The following is a 20,368-nucleotide window of genomic DNA, read 5'->3' as shown; positions in this document are numbered from 1 at the left end:
CACATGACATTTAGACACATGTACCCACTTACAAAGAAAGATCCAATAGCTTTTACCTTGGAATTCTAGCCGTGAGTTATGAATATGTTCACATGGCTAAACTTTGCCCTAATAGGTAATCCAATGAAGGCTGTGAGCCAAGATTTTGGGTAAAGCAGTTTTCATAGAAGTTTAATTTTTAAAGGCCAAGTTTCTTCACACTCCAAAGAATACTAGGGCCAAACAGCAACGCAGAACATCATGTAATAACTAGGCCTGACCCTGCTTAGAACAGCAGCATAAAAGCCTGGATGCAAGGAACTATATCCTGCTTTCCCATTAAGGACAGTACTACAATTCAAAGACTTTCCAAGATTGGGTAAAGTCAGGCACATTCCGGGTGGTATGGCCATAGATTTTCCCTTACTCCATTGGCCCACAACTACCTTCAGACCAACCCTGAAATGCACCCAAGTGGGCTGCACTCTGGGATCGAACCCCAGCCTCCCATGTCTGCATTGACATACACATAAGCAGTCACCAAGACACAATCCAACTGCAGCAGTGATCAACAAGCCCCAAGAGTGTCCAGACTGAGTCAGGGTGCTTTCCTCTCTCAGCTGCTTGGCTTGTTCAACCTCAAATGGAAATTCCTTCAGAATTCCCCAAATCAAGAGGAGCAGTTCCTGCTTTTTGGACTCACAGAAGACACTCACTTGTCCAGATGCAGATGTGCACATACAGACACAAATAAGCAATTATTAACAAGCCTCAAGAGTGTCCAAACTGAGACAGGGAGCTTTCCTCTCTTCATTGGTTAGGCTTGTTCAACCTGCAAATAGATTCCTCAAATCTAGAGGAGCCATATTTGCTGTCAGCTACCCACAAAAGACACTTATCTGTCCAGAGACAGACGTCAATTTTTTCTTTCTTCCTTTTCTTTCTTTCTTTCTTTCTTTCTTTCTTTCTTTCTTTCTTTCTTTCTTTCTTTCTTTCTTTCTTTCTTTCTTTCTTTCTTCTTTCTTTCTTTCTTTCTCTTTCTTTCTTCCTTCCTTCCTTTCTTTCTTTTTTTTTTTTTTTTGACAGAGTCTTGCTCTGTCACCCAGGCTGGAGTGCAGTGACGCAATCTCGGCTCACTGCAAGCTCCGCCTCCTGGGTTCACACAATTCTCTTGCCTCAGCCTCCCCAGATGTCAGTTTTCAAGGGTGATTCTTCCTAGGCAATCAGGATGATGGCTGGGGCTGGCAATGGTGGGCCAGAGAGAGAAAGACTGAAACTTACCTTTGGCCAAAAAAACAAAGACAGGCAGCTGCCTAGGAGGTCTTCTGAAACTCTTCTGGCCTGTGGCCAGTGAACTGTGAGCAACACATTCCCAGTCAGGAAACCAAAATCTGTTACTGAAGTACCAGGGGAGGACCCTGTTGCTTCCTGCACAGAAAGCCAATCACTGAAACAATGAGTATTGCCAGGGAAGAAGGCTTTTTATTCAGGTGACATCAGCTAGAGAGAGAGGCGATCAGTCTCAAATCCATCTCTCTCAACTGATTAAAATTGGGAGTTTATAAAGCAGCAAAGGAATGTAGCTACATAAAGTCATGATGGATTAGAGATCTGGCATCTCATTTTCTGGTCACGGTGATCTGGTGTTTTAGTTCCTTGCCTGAGGGTCAGTTTCCTGAGGAAGCAACTCCAATAAGATAAATGTAAGTTTCAAGTTTTAACACCAGGGAGGGTCAATTTCTATGTTTATTCAAAAACTGTTAACATCAGTTCTATGGGCCAGTTGGGCCAGTTTCAATAACTAGCTATCAAGAATGTCAAATATTTTTAAAAATGCTTTATCCAAAAGAAGAGGTGAAAACCTAAAGCAAAACCATAACTTGAAAATGTACCTTACTTGCAAAACAGATAAACTTCACCAGACCCAGACAAGATGTGCATCACAGATGATCTATATTCAAACTTTTTTAACACTGATTTTTTTCAGGCTCATATGTTGTAGATAAGACCACAGAAAAGCTGACCTAATAGTAACTCTGTACGGACTTATGTTCTAAAAATGTAACTACTAACACTTCCAGCAGCTCCCTAATTTACAAATTCTGAGAAATCTCTACCAAGACCATCCTACAATTAAGTGTAATTACGCCAGCCCTTATAAGTGCCCTTCCTAATAGTCTTTAGATACCGGTTTTCTCAGGTGGATTTTGTACTGAAATTTGGTCAGACTCTCTTTGCAACAGACTGGGATCTCAACTAGTAACAGTGTACACAGTTAAGATTCCTTGAGTCAGTCTCTATCTACTAAAAGCTGGTCTGCCCATGGCTATGAGGTAAATTTAGCACTGATTTAAGCTTGGATTATTTAGTTGAGCCCTATAGCAATGATAAGATTATCTTATATATATTCTTGTAGCAGCTCTTCTTGATTTTGCCTTTCTCAATTTCAGAAAAACGAACTGGTAAGATATCCTTGGGTTTTAAAAATGTTCATTAGATAATGATGAGGTTTAAAATAAGCTATCCCAAAATATGTCACCTTGACATTTGAAAAACCCTTGGAGTCAGGGTTTCCAAGATGATTTGGGCCACAAAGCAGAAGACAACATGAAATGGTTGGTTTCTGCCTGAGACCATCACAACAAGATAAGCCAGGTATAAACAATTTTTTTTCTAACCATTACTTCAACTTTATAGCTAAGAAAACTGAAGCTCAGAAAGTGCAAGGAAATAGCAAAAGTCATTGGTTATTGAGTGGTGGAACTGAGGAGTAGAGGACTTTGGTTTGTCTGATGCCAATTTTTGTTCGTTGCTTGCTTTTTAATTATACGTATGGCCAACATGCCTAGAAGAAGTAAGGACTTCTGGATGACTCCTGAGAGCCTGGAAAAGGCCTTGCTGGGGGGAATAGTTTGGCATCCAGAAGTTGGTTTGAAGGCTCTTGAAAGCCACTTCCTTGCTCAGAGAAGAGACCTGAACTGCCAAGGCCAAGAAGGCCTAGTCAAGCTTTACCTTTCTGTGTCACTGGTGGTGAGAATGTGAAACAGTTGGGGAATGGAATAGATGTCAAGGACACTCTGGCTCACAGGCCAGTCTGACTGTCCTTCACGTGAACTTGGGATTGTTAGTTGTTTGGGTGTGCCTTTTGAATACAAAGGAAGGTATCCTTTGCCTCATTATGATAACATCAGTAGGATGTTCTTAAAGCCAACAGACCAATATCACCAACCTCAGTCATTATCACTAGAACTAAATTAGTTACCTAGTCTGTTAAGCTTCTGGTGGCACTTGAGAAAAACCCTAGCAAAGACAGTTTCTACATCTTTTAGATGATGAAGACAATGACAAACAACAACAACAACACAGCAACAACTAACGCTTCTATAATGCTGCCTATTTTCCAGGTTCTGTTCTAAGTATTTCCCCTATGTTAACTCACTGAATTCTCATAATAATCTACTGTGGTTAGGGACTTCCATGAGGTCACACAGGCAGAGAAAGATGGAATGGAGATTTGAGTCTATAGTCCATTATGCCATTTCTCATTCAGATATTTTTAAATCAAAGTCAAATAAAGCATTGATATTACTTACTGTGAAGTACATTCAAAATATTAACTGTTGTCATATAAGAGGCTTAAGTTTACAGTAGTTGTTTTCTTAAAAGTAATTAAGTTGAGACTACTATTTGAAATATATTCCCAGCTTTAAAAATAGTAACAATGTACTATTTGAAGAAATGAAATCTTTTCTATATCCTCCACTTTCATCATTTTACACAGTTATCTTGGAGTATAATTGCTCTTGCTCATGGTTTATTAGAAATTAAAAATATTTCATTTTTATGGAACACATTACACCAATAAGTAGATAAATACACATTCATTTTCTACAAAATAGATTCTGTCTGTGTCTCAGAGTAGAAACTGATCTAGGTTTTATGCTTCTTGTTTCTACAAGAATTTTTAGCAAATGTTGCAGAATCTGTATCAATTTCTATACACATACCTACATATCTATGTCTGTAATGACAATATTTTTAAATTAAGGTAACTTCCAGGTGACACTTTTGGTTCTATTATTGACATTAATTATTTGGACCTTCCTTCATTCCACAAAAGGAACTTAAGGTCGCTAAAATATATTTGCCCAGTAAGGTATGATAATAAAAGATAAAATTAAAGAAAAGAGAAAATACAAATAAATCAATATGATGGATTCCGGGTAATTCTTACACCCAAATATGTGCCATAAAGACCTGTACACTGAATCATAGTGTGCTGCAGTTTTAGCTCCACATTTCTTAACAATGGATTTAAATGTCATAGAACTTGCTGAGTTCCTAAGATAACAAACCAAGTAGTAGGTTAAGAGAGGTACAGCTGTCCTTGGTATGGAGGCCTGAAAATAAACAAACCATGGGAATATGTCAAACATCTACTGTGTGTTTACAGAGAATACAAAGATGGTTCCTGCCCATATTTTGGGACAAGATACCACATTCACAGTCAATATTCAGGAATATTAAACACACCTCTTAATTGTGCCCTCAACCCTGACTAGAATCTCTGTGTTTCTTGTTTCTTATTCTCCCACTTCCCACAGTGACTTTTAAAAATCTTTCCCGGCTGGGTGCAGTGGCTCACACCTGTAATCCCAACACTTTGGGAGGTCGGGGCTGGGGGATTGCTTGAGGCCAGGAGTCCAACACCAGCCTGGGCAACATGGCAAAACACTGTCTCTCCAAAAATACAAAAATTAGCTGGGTATGGTGGTGCATGCCTATAGTCCTGGTTACTTGGGAGACTGAGGTGGGAGGATCACCTGAGCCTGGGAAGTTAATGATGCAGTGAGCTGTGATGGCTCTGCTGCACTTCAGCCTGAGTGACAGAGCAGGACCCTGTCTCAAAAACAAAAACAAAAACCAACACAGAAAACCCCAACTTCTCTACTTCTTTAAATTTCCTAATTCTCCTTACGTACCTCCCACTCCTCCCTCATCTCAGAAAATGACCTACTTCAAAACCAAGTAGAAGCCATCACCTGGGAACTGCATTTGTTTACTACCATCACAGAGGACTCACCTTGCATCTGTACCTCCTTCCCCGTTTTGGGAGGCATAGAGGAGCTGTTCCTCCTTATTGCTAAGAACAATGCTTCCAGGTGTGCTGCAAATTCCTTTCCTTCCTGAATATGCTAAACATTATCCTTTCTCTCTTGTCTACTCAACCATTCTTTTTCATTGCCATTGAACTATTTTTCAGACTTTTTTTTTTTTTTTTTTTTTTTTTTTTGAGACGGAGTCTCGCTCTGTCGCCCAGGCTGGAGTGCAGTGGCGGGATCTCGGCTCACTGCAAGCTCCGCCTCTCCAGTTCACGCCATTCTCCTACCTCAGCCTCCCGAGTAGCTGAGATTACAGGCACCCGCCACCATGCCCGGCTAATTTTTTGTATTTTTTGTAGAGACAGGGTTTCACCATGTTAGCCAGGATGGTCTCGATCTCCTGACCTTGTGATCCGCCTGCCTCGGCCCCCCAAAGTGCTGGGGTTACAGGCATGAGCCACTGTGCTTGGCCTATTTTTCAGACTTCTTAATCTTAAAAAGAGTGTGCCTTGACCCTGCACCCATATCCTGGACCAATGCTTTCTCTCTGATCTCCTCAGTTACAGCCAGACTTCCCAAACACAGTGTGTGCCTGCTTCCTCCTTCACCCTACTTCCCAATAACCCCTCAGGCCATTTGACTCTGGAGCCACCAAAACTGCACTTGTAAGATGACCAGTGACCTTGGTTGTGCTACATCCAATGAACATCTTTCAACTTTTTGAGTTCTTTAGTGTATTTGAATAAAACAAGTCTCTCCTTATTTTGATGAGTGAGACAGAGTTAACTTCTTTGGCTCACAAGCAAAGATCCCCAACTCGGATAGTCCAGCTCTCCAGCCTTGTCTGGCACTGGTCTCTTCTGTGCTCTTCTTGCTCCACTCATACTGCCCTTCTCTCAGTTCCATGAGTTGGCTCTTCTCTTTCCTGCCTCAGGGCCCTGCACATGCTGTTTTTCTTGTCTAGAAATCCCTTCCTCTTCCTCTTCACTTGAGAATTTTAGTTCTTCAGATTCAGGTTAAGTGCCTCTTCTGAGGAAACTTCCTTAAACCCCCAAACTCAATCAGTTTCTCTATTATATATTCTCAAAGGCCAGAGATAAGTTTATTATCCCCACAAATTACTGAACAGGAGTGAAAATGGCCCTCTCCCCGGTTCATTGGTAGTGTCTGAATTTTAATTCCAACCACATTGTGATTTTTCCAAAAGACATTTAATGGAATTCTTCAAATAGGATATGTGTGGCTGGTGTAATTGAACAGTAGTTTAACATCCTTTTAAGTCATAGTGCTTATTTCCTATGACTTGTGGGCCTTTCAAGGACATCTGATTACAGCTCCGCTCATTGTGATTATTATGATCATGACACTTGCAGAAACATAATATGAACCAGGTCAGAGGCCTTGAACCTAGATGAGCCATGGCAGAGGGAGCCTAGATGCTATGGTGGAAGGTCCTTCCTTGAGTGATTTGTAGTTGCTGCTCTGATCGTCATGTTTATTGCTTCCGGGAATTTTATTAGCAGGTTATCCAATGCCTTAAAGAATGGTTCTTCCTTCAATACATGCTTCCCATATTTCATTTTGTTTTGCTTATCCCCCCAGGTTGCAAAAGTTCCTCGATCTGGCATACTTACTGGGTAGGTCTAGGAAGAAGAATACAGAAAAGTGATATCCTATATGACACTTTGCAATTCATATTTATTCATAATTAAAATCTGAAAGATAAGGGCAGGAGTAATAATCTCCATTTTCCACATGGGGAAACTGAGGTCCAATAAGCAATAACTAGTGAAGACAGTTATAGAACCTAGGTGTGCCAACTTTTGGTACAATGCTCTTTTCTGCCATGTCATTAATTTGAAAGCGTTTTTAATTCTTCTTCATCTTTTTTTTCACAAAAGTTCTTATGTCTATTCATATTATTATCAATTTTCAACTCAATGTAGCAAAATTGAGTGCTGGTTATATAGAACATTCTGGGAGGTATAAAACAATGATACAAATTCTTCAAGCTTGTAATTTGGTGGGAGTGGAGTTGGGGACAAGATTCACTTACTCTATTACTTCTGTCCTCATGCCCAACCTTCATAGAATTCAAATTAGGCTTGATTTTAGACTTTGTTTCTCTTATATCCCATTCTTTTATTATTATATATCTCATGAATGTCTATTAATCTATCTGAGACCAAGTCAGATGACAAAAGAATTTTGAGAAGATGTTGATGACAAATGACATTATCTCTCACCTTGAACCAAAGTGTGGGGCAAGTGGCAATTGAGACTTGAAATGGGTCTTAAACTTGGAAGAATAAAAGGATTACTTATTAGTATTTTGTACAGTTTGATGACCTATTAAAAAATCTCAGTTTTGCTTTTAACTATTACCAACTTATGATGAAAGAACAGAATGAATGTTCACCCTTCAAAGAATAGACTGCTAGTTGCCTTTCCCAAAATCCAAGATGGCCATGTAGGATAAGGCTATGGTTTTCATCTTCCCTTGTACTAGTCTGGCTATGTGACTTGCCAGTGAGCTGTAATGAAAGATTATGGCTGCCCAAGGGAATTTTTAAAAATATCTGTCATGTACCCTTTACCCTTTTTCTTTCTGTTTATTAGCATATGGCCAATACATGAACAATCATCTTGGATCATGTGGTGGCATGGTAAAGTTGGTGGAATATAGGATAGGAGCCTCTATACCAGCACTGGGAGCTATCTCAGGACTTCTTCTAAGGGAGATAAAACAAATGTTTGTCTTCTTAAGGCCATTGTTGTTTTGGAGCTTTGGTTACAAGCAGCTGAACCCAATCCTACCTGAAATTCCCTACTTCACCACCTAAATCAAGAATGTCCTAAAACCTGGCTTTTATTTGTTCCTTAAAGACAAGTCAAATATTTTTGTTTCTAGGGTCTGTGTTCTGTCCATCTGTAAGAATAGGTGATTACACACCATTATGAGATATAGCAAAGCAGGTATGAATACATTTTTTTGTTTATTTGTTTGAGAGGTGGGAAGGGAGAGAATTAAGAGGAAAATGAAAGAAACTCTGGAATATTAGATGATACTTGAGAACTAGGAAAGGAATCAGGGTTTGTAGTTTCTGTTAATGATAGATATCTGATCCCACTGGAAAGCAATGCCTTTGTGGATGCAAGAATTTTACATGGTGATGGCCATGTGGTGCCTATATAGACTGGAAACTATATCCTATCATCTTGGGTGCTTCAGTAGTGTCCCCATGGCTGAACTTGGGATGAAGGGAGAAGAACTATGGGTGGAACCATTTCTTTTACTATATACCAAAAGCATCAGAAACCAAAATAGAGTACCAACAACCCCTGTTTCATTTTTCTGAACTCTATAGCTCTAGAATTGTTGTTTGAAAATGAGAGGGGAGGTAATCCAAAAGGTGGCTTTTATTGGGTTTCTCAAAAAACTTTTTCTGTGGGTATTGAGCCAGATTTGATTCAATTTGGAACACAAGAAATGTCATGTTTCTTGCTCCTCACGGAGTAATTCATACCATTAGAGTAGGATGGACTGATCATGATCTCCTTTTACTCTTCCCTCAAAGCTCATGAAGTATTTCTCAATTCAAACTGTACATCTTGTTTCAACATAATAAGTGCCAAAGCATTCAGGTTAAATTTTTATAGCAGAAGATTAATTGCTTAACAAATTTAACAAATATTTACTGAACTTACACTTTGGGCCAGGGCCTGTTATAGGCCAATGGAATGGATTAACCAGAGACCAAAGATAATCCCTGCCCTCCTTGTCACTTACCTGCTAGTCACTGGACAGACAGTAAACACAAGACATGAATAAATATATAATAGCATGCTAGGGGATGATTTAGTAGTATCTTCAAGAGACACAATATACTATTTTTCCTGCCTGCACTAAACTTGGAGACTTGGAGAGAGACAAATTTGTCTGTGTTAGAGAAAATGTACCAAATAAGAGGGGGCAATCCAGTGCGTTTTAAGAGAATGGCCCTTCATAAGCTTACAAAGAGAATTCCTGAAATTGTCCAAAACAGTACCCTGAGGTATTACTGAAAACCCTCCCAAAAGTAGCAGATTTTAAGAGCAGACATCTAATCCCAAACATTTTGCAGCTTATAAACAGAGCAGCACATTGACAAGTGGTAAAGACGTTAAAAATACAACAGATGAATCAATTACTTGCTTTCCTGAGGCTAAGGACTGTCGTGAACTTGGGGTGTCAGTGACAGTCTCCAAGCACAGAGATTCATTTCTGTTGGACTTCAGTTTTTTTTCTATTACAGTAAACTTCCTGAAATGTATGGGGATCGAGAACACTTTCATCTGGTCGGTTAAGCATGATGATATTGCCTTTAGTGTAGATTAATATCTGTACAGAGTGAGGATTCCTTGGCCGCTCCTGTTGAGATGAATCAACTGAATTTGGAGTGTTGGTCTCAGGAGGTGGCTCTGAGAGGAGGTGCCTAAAGAGTAGAGAATTAGATGTTATAAGAAAAGGTAGAATCATTAAAAAGTGTGGGGGTATAGGGCAAGGTTTAAGGGTCCCTGACCATCTTGGAAAAGAGTACAGAATAGAAGGTCTAGAAAAAGGGAGAGCTGAGAAACCATTTTTATTCATCCAGAGCTGAGTACAGCCAGGCCAGAGGGAGTGTTCAAGGGATTCGAGAGGCAAGTAAGGTTAGAAATGAAGATCTGCTGGCCGGAGTTGGAAGAAGGTGACTCTGGGCAACAGTGATTTGACTAGGAACTGAGAGTTGAGGCTGAGGGCTAACAAAGAATATTGAGGAGATTCTGAGGTTTGCGGGCTAACTCTGAACACTGCCATAAAAGGGCACTTTAATCCATGCCTGAAGGGTGAAAAAAATTGGCTGCTGAAGTACCTGCCATGCTTTGACTGTGGGCATTACTGTTTGTTTGTTTGTTTGTTTGTTTGTTTGTTTTTCTTCTTGCAACTTTTAAGTTCCAGGGTACATGGACAGGATGTTCAGGTTTGTTACATAGGTAAACGTGTGCCATGGTGATTTGCTGCACAGATCAACCCATCACCTAGGTATTAAGCCCAGCATCCATTAGCTATTCTTCCTGATGCTCTCTCACCCCTCATCCTACCCAACAGACCCCAGTGTGTGTTGTTCCCCTCCCTATATCCATGTGTTTGCATTGTTCAACCCCCACTTGTAAGTGAGAACATGTAGTGTTTGGTTTTCTGTTCCTGGGTTAGTTTGCTGAGGATGATGGATTGTAATTCCATCTATTTCCCTGCAAAGGATATGATCTTGTTCCTTTATATGGCTGCATAGTATTCCATGGTGTATATGTACCACATTTTCTTTATCCAGCCTATCACTGATGGGCATTAGAGTTGATTCCATATCTTGGCTATTGTGAATAGTGCTGCAATGAATATAGTCGTGCATGTATTTTTATAATAGAATGATTTATATTCCTTTGGTTATATACCCAGTAATGGGATTGCTAGGTCAAATGGCATTTCTGCTTCTAGATCTTTGAGGAATCACCACACTATCTTGCACAAGGAATGAACTAATTTACATTCCCACCAACAGTGTAAAAGCATTTCTTTTTCTCCAGAACCACACCAGCATCTGTTGTTTCTTTACTTTTTAATAATTGCCATTCTGACTGGTGTGAGATGGTATTTCACTGTGGTTTTGATTTGCATTTCTCTAATGATCAGTGATGTTGAGCTTTTTTTCATATGTTTGTTGGCTGCGTGAATGTCTTCTTTTGAGAGTGTCTTTTCATGTTCTTTGCCCATGTTTTAATGGGGTTGTTTTTTTCTTATAAATTTGTTTAAGTTTCTTGTAGACTCTGGATATTAGACCTTTGTCAGTTGGATAGATTGCAAAAATTTTCTCCCATTCTGTAGGTTGTCTGTCCACTCTAATAATAGTTTCTTTTGCTGTGTGGAAGCTCTTTAGTTTAATTAGATCCCATTTGTCAAATTTTGCTTTTATTGCAATTCCTTTTGGCATCTTCATTATGAAATATTTGGCTGTGCCTATGTCTTGAATGGTATTTCCTAGACTTTCTTCTCTGGTTTTTGTAGTTTTGGGTTTTACATTTTAAGTCTTTAATCCATCTTGAGTTAATTACTGTATATGGAGTAAGGAAGGGGTCCAGTTTCAATCTTTTGCATATGGCTAGCCGGTTCTCCCAGCAACATTTATTAAATAGGGAGTCCTTCCCTCATTGCTTGTTTTTGTCAGGTTTGTCAAAGACCAGGTGGTTGTAGGTGTGTGGTCTTACTTCAGAGTTCTCCATTCTGTTGGATTGGTCTATGTGTCTGTTTTTTTTTTTTTTTTTTTTTTTTTTTTTTTTTTTTACCAGTACCATCCTGTTTTGGTTTCTGTAACCTTGTAGTATAGTTTGAAGATGGGTGATATGATGCCTCCAGCTTTGATCTTTTTGCTTAGGATTGTCTTGGCTATTCGAGCTCTTTTTTGGTTCCATATGAATTTTAAAAGAGTTTTTTCCAATTCTGTGAGGAATGTCAATGGTAGTTTGATGGGAATAGCATTGAATCTATAAATAACTTTGGGCAGTATGGCCATTTTCATGATATTGTGCATGGAATGTTTTTCGATTTGTTTGTGTCCTTGCTGATTTCCTTGAGCAGTGGTTTGTAGCTCTCCTTGAAGATGTCCTGTATTTCCCTTGTTAGCTGTATTTCTAGGTATTTTATTCTCTTGGTAGCATTTGTGCTTGGGAGTTCATTCATGATTTGGCTCTCTGCTTGCCTGTTGTTGGTGTAAAGGAATGTTAGCGATTTTTGCACATTGATTTTATATCCTGAGACTTTGCTGAAGTTGCTTATAAGTTTTAAGAAGCTTTTGGGCTGAGAGGATGGGGTTTTCTAGATACAGGATTATATCATCTGCAAACGATGATAATTTGACTTCCCCTCTACCTATGTGAATACCCTTTATTTCTTTCTCTTGCCTGATTTTCCTGACCAGAACTTCCAATACTATGTGGAATAGGAGTGGTGAGAGAGGGCATTCTTGTCTTGTGCCAGTTTTCAAGGGGAATGTTTCTAACTTTTGGCCATTCAGTACGATATTGGTTGTGGGTTTGTCATATATGGCTCTTATTATTTTGAGGTATGGTCCTTCAATACCTAGTTTATTGAGAGTTTTTAACACAAAGGGATGTTGAATTTTATCGAAGGCCTTTTCTGCATATATGGAGATAATCATGTGGTTTTTGTCTTTAGTTCTGTTTATGTGACGAATCATGTTTATTGATTTGTGTATGTTGAACCAACATCCCAGGGATGAAGCCAACTTGATCATGAGCTTTTTGATGTGCTACTGGATTTGGTTTGCCAGTATTTTATTAAGGACTTTTGCATTGATGTTCATCAGGGATATTGGAGGGAAGTTTTCCTTAGTTGTATCTCTGCCAGCTTTTGGTATCAGGATGATGCTGGCCTCATAAAATGAGTTAGGGAGGAATTCTTCCTTTTCAATTGTTTGGAGTAGTTTCAGAAGAAATGGTACCAGCTCCTCTTTGTACCTCTGGTAGAATTCAGCTCTAAATCCATCGGGTCCCGGGCTTTTTTTTTGGTTGGTGGGCTATTTGTTACTGCCTCAATTTCAGAGCTTGTTATTGGTCTATTCTGGGATTCAATTTCTTCCTGGTTCAGTCTTGGTTCAGTCAGGTTGTATGTGTCCAGGAATTTACCCATTTTTCCTAGGTTTTCTAATTTATGTGCATAGAGGTGTTTATAGTATTCTCTGATGGTTGTTTGTATTTCTGTGTGGTCAGTGGTGATATCCCCCTTATCATTTCTGATTGTGTCTATTTGGTTCTTGTCTCTTTTCTTCTTTATTAGTCTAGCTAGCAGTCTATTTATTTTATTAATTTTCTCAAAAAAAAACTCCTGAATTTGTTGATTTTTTGAAGGGATTTTGGTGTTTATCTCCTTCAGCTTTGCTCTGATCTTGATTATTTTTTGCCTTCTGCTGTCTGCTGCTTTAGTTGCATCCCAGAGATTCTGGTATGTTGTCCTTTTGTTCTCATTAGTTTCAAAGAGCTTCTTAATTTCTGCCTTAATTTCATAATTTACCAAGGAGTCATTCAGGAGCAGACTGTTCAATTTATTTATTTGTTTATTTATTTATGAGGTGGAGTCCCACTCTGTTGCCCAGGCTGGAGTGCAGTGGCACGATCTCGGCTCACTGCAACTTCTGCCTTCCTAGTTCAAGTGATTCTCCTGCCTAAGCCTCCTGGGTAGCTAGGATTACAGGTGCCCACCACCATGCCCAGCTAATTTTTGTATTTTTAGTAGAGACAGGGTTTTACCATGTTGGCCAGGGTGGTTTCAAACTCCTGACCTCAGGTGATCTGCCTATCTCAGCCTCCCAAGGTGCTGGGATTGCAGACATGTGCCACTGCATTCAGCCAGGTTGTTCAGTTTCTATGTAGTTGTTTGGTTTTGAGTGAGTTTCTTAACCTTGATTTCTAATTTGATTGCACTGTGGTCTGAGAGACTATTTGTTATGATTTCAGTTCTTTTGCATTTGCTGAGGAGTGTTTCACTTCTGATTATGTGATCAGTTTTAGAGTAAGTGCCATGTGGTGATTAGAAGAATGTAAATTCTGTTTTTTCTCTGCTTGGTCTATTTGGCTATTGACACTCGTGATTTCATTGTGAAGTTCTTGTGTTGTTTTTCCATCAGGTCATTTATAGTCCTCTTTTAACTGGCTCTTCTGGTTATCAGCTCTTGTATTGTTTTATCATGATTCTGAGCTTCTTTGTATTGGGTTAGAACGTGCTCCTTTAGCTCAATGAAGTACGTTATTACCCATCTTCTGAAGCCTACTTCTGTCAATTTAGCCATCTCATCCTCACCCCAGTTCTTTGCCCTTGCTAGAGAGGTGTTCGATCATTTGGAGGAGAGGAAACACTCTGGCTTTTTGAGTTTTCAGCATTTTTGCATTGATTCTTTCTCATCTTTGTGGGCTTATCTACCTTTGATCTTTGAGGTTGCTGACCTTTGAAAGGGTTTCTTTTTTATTATACTTTAAGTTTTAGGGTACATGTGCACATTGTGCAGGTTAGTTACATATGTATACATGTGCCATGCTGGTGCGCTGCACCCACTAACTCGTCATCTAGCATTAGGTATATCTCCCAGTGCTATCCCTCCCCCCTCCCCCCACCCCACCACAGTCCCCAGAGTGTGATATTCCCCTTCCTGTGTCCATGTGATCTCATTGTTCAATTCCCACCTATGAGTGAGAATATGCGGTGTTTGGTTTTTTGCTCTTGCGATAGTTTACTGAGAATGATGCTTTCCAATTTCTTCCATGTCCCTGCAAAGGACATGAACTCATCATTTTTTATGGCTGCATAGTATTCCATGGTGTATATGTGCCACATTTTCTTAATCCAGTCTATCGAAAGGGGTTTTTATGGGGTCTCTTTTGTCTATGTTGTTGTTGTTGTTGCTTTCTGTTTTTTTTTTTTTGTTTTTTTTTTTTAACAGTCAGACCTTTCTTCTGTAGGGCTGCTGCAGTTTGTTGGGTGTGCACTCCAGACCCTAATCACCTGGGTTTCCACTGCACCTGGAGGTATCACCAGTGGAGGCTGCAAAACAGCAAAGATGGCAGCCTGCTCCTTCTTCTGGGAGGTCCTTTCCAGATGGGCACCAAACTGATGCCGGCCCAAACGCTTCTGTAGGAAGTGCCTGGAGACCTCTGTTGGGAGGTCTCACCCAGTCAGGAGGAAAAGGATCAGGGATCTGCTTAAAGAAGCAGTCTGGCTTCCCCTTGTTGGAGTGGGTGCACTGCGCTGGTGGAAACCCCCTTTTGTACAGAAGCCCCCAGACTCTTCGGAGCCAGCAGGTGGGAAAGGCTAAGTTAGCTGAGCCTTAGATACCATGACCGCTCCCTTCCCCAGGGGGCTGTGTCCCAGGGAGATCAGAGTTCTGTCCATAAAACCCTGGCTGCAGTTGCCAAAATTGCCATGGGGAGGCCCCACCTGGTGAGAAGGGATGGATTAGAGCCCCACTTAAAGCAGTCTGGCCATGATCTGCCACAGCAAATGTGCTGTGCTGTGGGGAATTCCTCCCAGCCTGGACCACCCAGACTCCCTAGAGCCAGCAGGCCAGAACAGGCTGACTCCAGCCGCAGAGATGTTGGCTATCCTTCCCCCACTGGGAACTTGGTCATCTCAGGCATTCTCCAACCTGCTGCTGCCGGTTGACTGGAATTCCAAACCAGTGTGAGGTGTCGTGGAAGTGGGGCCCACTGAACGACACTACTTGGCTACCTGGCTTCAGCCCCCTTCCGAGAGGAATGGGTGAATCTCCTACTTCGCTGGAATTCCTGGGGCCAGAGTACGCAAAAACTCCTGGTCTCCCTGCATGCCTGAGTGGCAGCTGAGATTCCACACAGCTCTGTGCTTGGGACCCAAGACCTTGGTGGCATGGGCTCATGAGGGGATCTCCCGATCCACTGGTTGCAAGGATCTGTGTGAAAAGCATGGTTTCCTGGGCTGGGTTGCACAATCACTCACCACCACCCCGGTGGGCTGTCTGATATTGCTGTTCTAAAGAGAGATGCTGACTTCATCATGCATGTGGGTATCTCAGAATATAAATGATTTAATATAACCTGACTGCAAAGAGTAGGCAGTAAAAATATTTCTGGAATTTTGGATTCAATGCAGCCATTCAGTCAAAGCTGCAGTTCAATGCCTCCCTCATCTTTTGATTGTTTTGTGATCTGATTTGAGAAATCAGAATGTTTTCTCTTGGCATAGTATATGAAGAGTTCAATTAAAACCCGCAAATGTTTTTGTCACTTTGTGTGTGTATGTGTGTGTCTGTGGGCATAAATGTATATATATATACTTACATATATTTATAATTATATATACAGTTATCATAATATATATAGCTATAGCTATTTATAACCATACATTATCTATAACTGTACATTTAAATTTACAACTATAGCTCTCTCTCTATATATATAACTGTATAGTGTTTTATAAATTTAAAACATTTCATGTGCTTTAAAAAAGATTTAAAAGCTAAACTTATAATTTGGAAAGGCCATTATTAAGTGCCAGATGCCTGGTGATTGAACCCAGGATTTTAATTTTTCCCGATTCAGATGAGGTTCTCTGTTCAAGCTCTTGCAGTTTGCCTCTCTGTCACTCTCAATATTACATGTATATGTAAATATACACACATATATAGACACAGAGATATATATATGCACTCACACATACACACATACATATTCACACATAAATCTTTAAAAGTAGTAGAATATTTTAATTATTGAAAACAATAGCCTTGGTATGTTTAAATATGGCACTTTAGAGCAATCTTCTAATGAAATAATTTGGAACATTTTCTAACAATTTTTATCTGTCACCATTTTTTCTAATTTTAGTATATTTTATACCCAGATATTAATTACCAAATGTGATTTAAAACCCACCCTATTTCTCTTCCTGGGGTGATTTCATGACTCTGGGACTTCAAGCTCTTGGATCAAAGCTTTGGTACATCTCAGCAGATGTCTTAACTACTCCAGAGAGAGTAGTTTGAGTCCTTCTAAGCTCATCAAAGAGAAGGTGTGAATTTGCCTTTTCTCACATCCGTTCTCATAACATCTGCTTCCCATCTCCCATATGCAGGATCCTAATGGGAGAAAAGTGCCATGGCAGAAGGAGATTCTGTTGAGAAGATAAATGCCCTCTGACTATGTCTTCTTCAATCCTCAAAAATATTGCCATTATGTTTGAGAGCAGTTGATAAAGCATAGTGTGCTGGGAAGAGTGCTGGAGAAGGAGTCAGTTGACCTTCACGACTGTCCAATTCTGCAATGAGCAAGCTGTGTCACTTTGGGCAAATCATGGGTTCTCTGTTTCTCTGTTTCATCTATAAAGTGAGGCAATGAAATATTATGATCTTAAATTATTTCTTTACAGTTATATGACATTAATCAATTCCTGACTTCCTTCTTCCATTGGTCATAAATATGTGTATGTATGTATAATATATTCATAGATAATGTGTGTGTGTGTAGTGATTTTTTTTCCCAACTCATGGCTGACTTCAGTCTTAATAATTACTTTGATTACACAGTTTTCTACATAAAAATTTAAATTACAAAATTCTTGTACATAACCAAACAAAACCCTCTGAGCAAATTTAAACTGAAGATTTAGTTGAATAATTTTATTTTATATTTTTGCTCCAGAATTTTCTACTGTGGCATCTTTATCAGATATTTGTTGAAAGGTTGTTATTATGCACTAATGAATGATAGTGTTGAGAACTTGGTCACAGACCTTCACTACAGTGTTACAAACTATCTTAGAAATGAAAAATGTGAAGTCTTATGACTAATAATTGAATGATTGTTTTAACAAATGTAAATGTGATTGTGATGGTTAATATTCAGTGTCAACTTGATTGGATTGAAGGATGCCAAGTATTTTTCCTAGGTGTGTCTGTGAGGGTGTTGCCAAAGGAGATTAACATTTGAGTCAGTGGACTGGAAGAGGCAGACCCACCCTCAATCTGGGTGGGCACCATCTAATCAGCTGCCAGTGTGGCTAGAGTAAAGCAGGCAGGAGAAGATGGAAGAGCAGACTTGCTGAGTCTCCTGGCCTTCATCTTTCTCCCATGCTGAATGCTTCCTGCCCTCGTACATCAGACTCCAAGTTCTTCAGTTTTTAGACTCTTGGACTTACACCAGTGGTTTGCCAGGGTCTCTCGGACCTTTGGCCACAGACCGAAGGCCACACTGTCGTCTCTTCTACTTTTGAGGTTTTGGGACTCGGACTGATCCACCCCTGGCTTCCTTGCTCCTCAACTTGCAGACGAACTATCGTGGGACTTTACTTTGTGATCACGTGAGTCAGTTCTCCTGAATAAACTCCCTTTCATATATACATATATCCTATTAGCTCTGTCCTTCCAGAGAACCCTAATACAGTGATTTTCCAAAAATTCACATTAGTTGGGCAGAATTAAATCCCAAGAGTTTGCAGCTAGATTGGAGTTGAAGACATGACAGTGGGTAAAGTGTCCAGGGAGTGTGGACCAAAGCCAACAGGGGAATTTCAGTCACCTTCACATTTAACAGATTGGCAGAGGAAGAGAAGCCACTGAAGGAGACTGAGAAGAAATGAGAGGTATCAATAGAAGATGAAGCAGAGGCTCCTCCTGTCGGAGAAGCAAGGTGGGAGAAACTTTCAAGAGAGGGATTGGTCAATATTGCAAAATACTATAAGGAGGCAAAATGAAATAAGGGTTAAAAGAACTTTTTGCTAAGAAAAAAAATCCCCTCACATTATAGTAATAGGGATTCATTTTAAGGATACTTTATAGAATTGTATATAAATCTGAGACAAAAGCCAAGCACAACTGGACCACAAAAAGACTGGCCACTGGGTCTGGAAGGCCAGTAGGAACCAAAGCTATTCACTCTACCCCTTCTCCAGAGGTCATCTCTGAGTTGCTGCCCAGTTACCTGTTCTCAGCTAATACCTTGCTCTGTGGTTTCTTGTATATGGCCGTAGTGCTGACCCAGTTCCAATTTTTCATAGACTCCTAGGACCATTTCCTCGTCATCAAATGCCAACTTTCCTTTGATCTTAGCTCAAATTCATGAGAGAAAGAAAACCTAGCCGAGATCCTTTTCTTGAACCTGTACACAAATCCCAATTTTCTGGCCTTTCCTATGGATTGGTTGCCTTTAGATTAGCTGTCTTCTCATGGCTAATCAGCTGTGCCTGATTTGGGGAGTTTCTTGGGGGAGTCTCATGGTGGAAAGTACATCCAAGTCTATGTAATGGAGCCTGTAGGCCAAGGCACAGCAGATTCATTCAGAAGGGCTGGGAATGGGCCATTTTAAGAAAGAAGAAGAAGTATGTACAGAGGAAAATAGGCCAGCTTGTCCAGTACAGGGTCCATTCAGTTTAGCACCTGAGTGCACATATAATTTTGGGAAGAATGCTGTCGTAGAATGGTGTGAGGTGGCTATGAGATTATGATGGGATGAAGAGTAAATGGGAAGAGTGCAAGTGAATGCAGTACATAAAGACTATATTGTTCAAGCAAGGCAGTAGGCCTTGACCCACTTGTGTTTTATAAGGGAAAGACATAAAGATGGAAGCTATGGAGATATATAGGATCAATAATGGACATTTTTAAAAGATTGAAAATATGGGGTTACTTTTAACAATTTTTTTTTATTAGTCCGTGTGGGGCATTTTATGGTGAAAACCAGAAAGCCTGCTAGACAAATTCTAAAAAAGCTGTAACACTACTTTAAACAAATTTTTATACTAAATGGAATGAAGGAAAGGTTTAAAGATACATGCAGAATGAAGGAAAGGTTGAGGATATATATATAAAATATATGTGTGTGTATATATATACACACACATATATACATACACACACAGACACACACACATATATATACATACATACACACGATATATAAGAGAGACAGAATGATTGATGGAACAGCATCTCTGAGGATGGAGAACAAGTGGAAGGATACATCTGAGAGATGACAGGGGAGACACAATATTTTGTGATGTAAGAGAAAAGATGTATCAGTGAGAATAGGCTATATTATGCAACAATAACAAACACTTCAAAATCTTAGTTTTTTTTTTTAACGAGTTTAATTCTTATTCATGCTACGTGTCTACTTCTGCTTTGTTCATTATAGTCACCTAGATGGAACTGAGATATTGTTGGTTTCCATGACAGAGGGGAAGAAAGTTCTGGAGGAGCCCTCACTGGCAATGAAATGCCCTGGTCCGAAAGCAACACATGTCATTTCCCCTCACTATTGGTGAGAGTTCGTTAACCACTGTCCAAGTACTAGAGGATCAGCTAGTGTGATCTTAACAAATGCTATAAAGGTGGATCGTTGGGGTATTTAGTGAACAACTTAATGATTACAATCAATAAAGACAATGGTGAGAGTGAATACGGGTAACTGTGAGTGGCTGCTGAGAAACTGAGGGAGTCCTATAAAGCAGAAATGAGATGTACATAGACAGGGAGGGATGAGTTGGTGAAGGCTTGAAACAGTTGTTGGGAGAGTGACTAGCTAGAGATGCAGAGAAGGATTATAGGTTATTCCTTAGGACTGAACTGAGAATGCAGACTGAATTTGTGATGACACTAATCTGTTGATTCTATGATTTTCTCTGGTGATATTCAGGATCCTAGATACGGATGGGAAATGTGGATGATTGATTG

The 20,368-nt window shown here is 39.9% G+C and overlaps 1 long non-coding RNA gene and 1 pseudogene across 1 annotated transcript; one reads left to right on the top strand and one right to left on the bottom strand.

Annotated features, from left to right (window-relative positions):
- The first annotated feature begins 14,630 nt into the window (after window positions 1-14,630).
- On the top strand, window positions 14,631-18,036 carry LOC124901052 (uncharacterized). The gene is made up of 2 exons (XR_007058911.1): window positions 14,631-14,966; window positions 16,774-18,036. It is a non-coding gene; the product is annotated as an uncharacterized LOC124901052 (long non-coding RNA).
- On the bottom strand, window positions 19,353-19,414 carry RNU7-34P (RNA, U7 small nuclear 34 pseudogene; annotated as a pseudogene).

The sequence above is a fragment of the Homo sapiens genome, chromosome 5 (assembly GCF_000001405.40).
Source record: "Homo sapiens chromosome 5, GRCh38.p14 Primary Assembly".
NCBI classification, from domain to species: Eukaryota; Metazoa; Chordata; class Mammalia; order Primates; family Hominidae; genus Homo; species Homo sapiens.
Note: the sequence above shows the minus strand (reverse complement) of the source record. Positions and strands in the feature narration are given on the sequence as shown.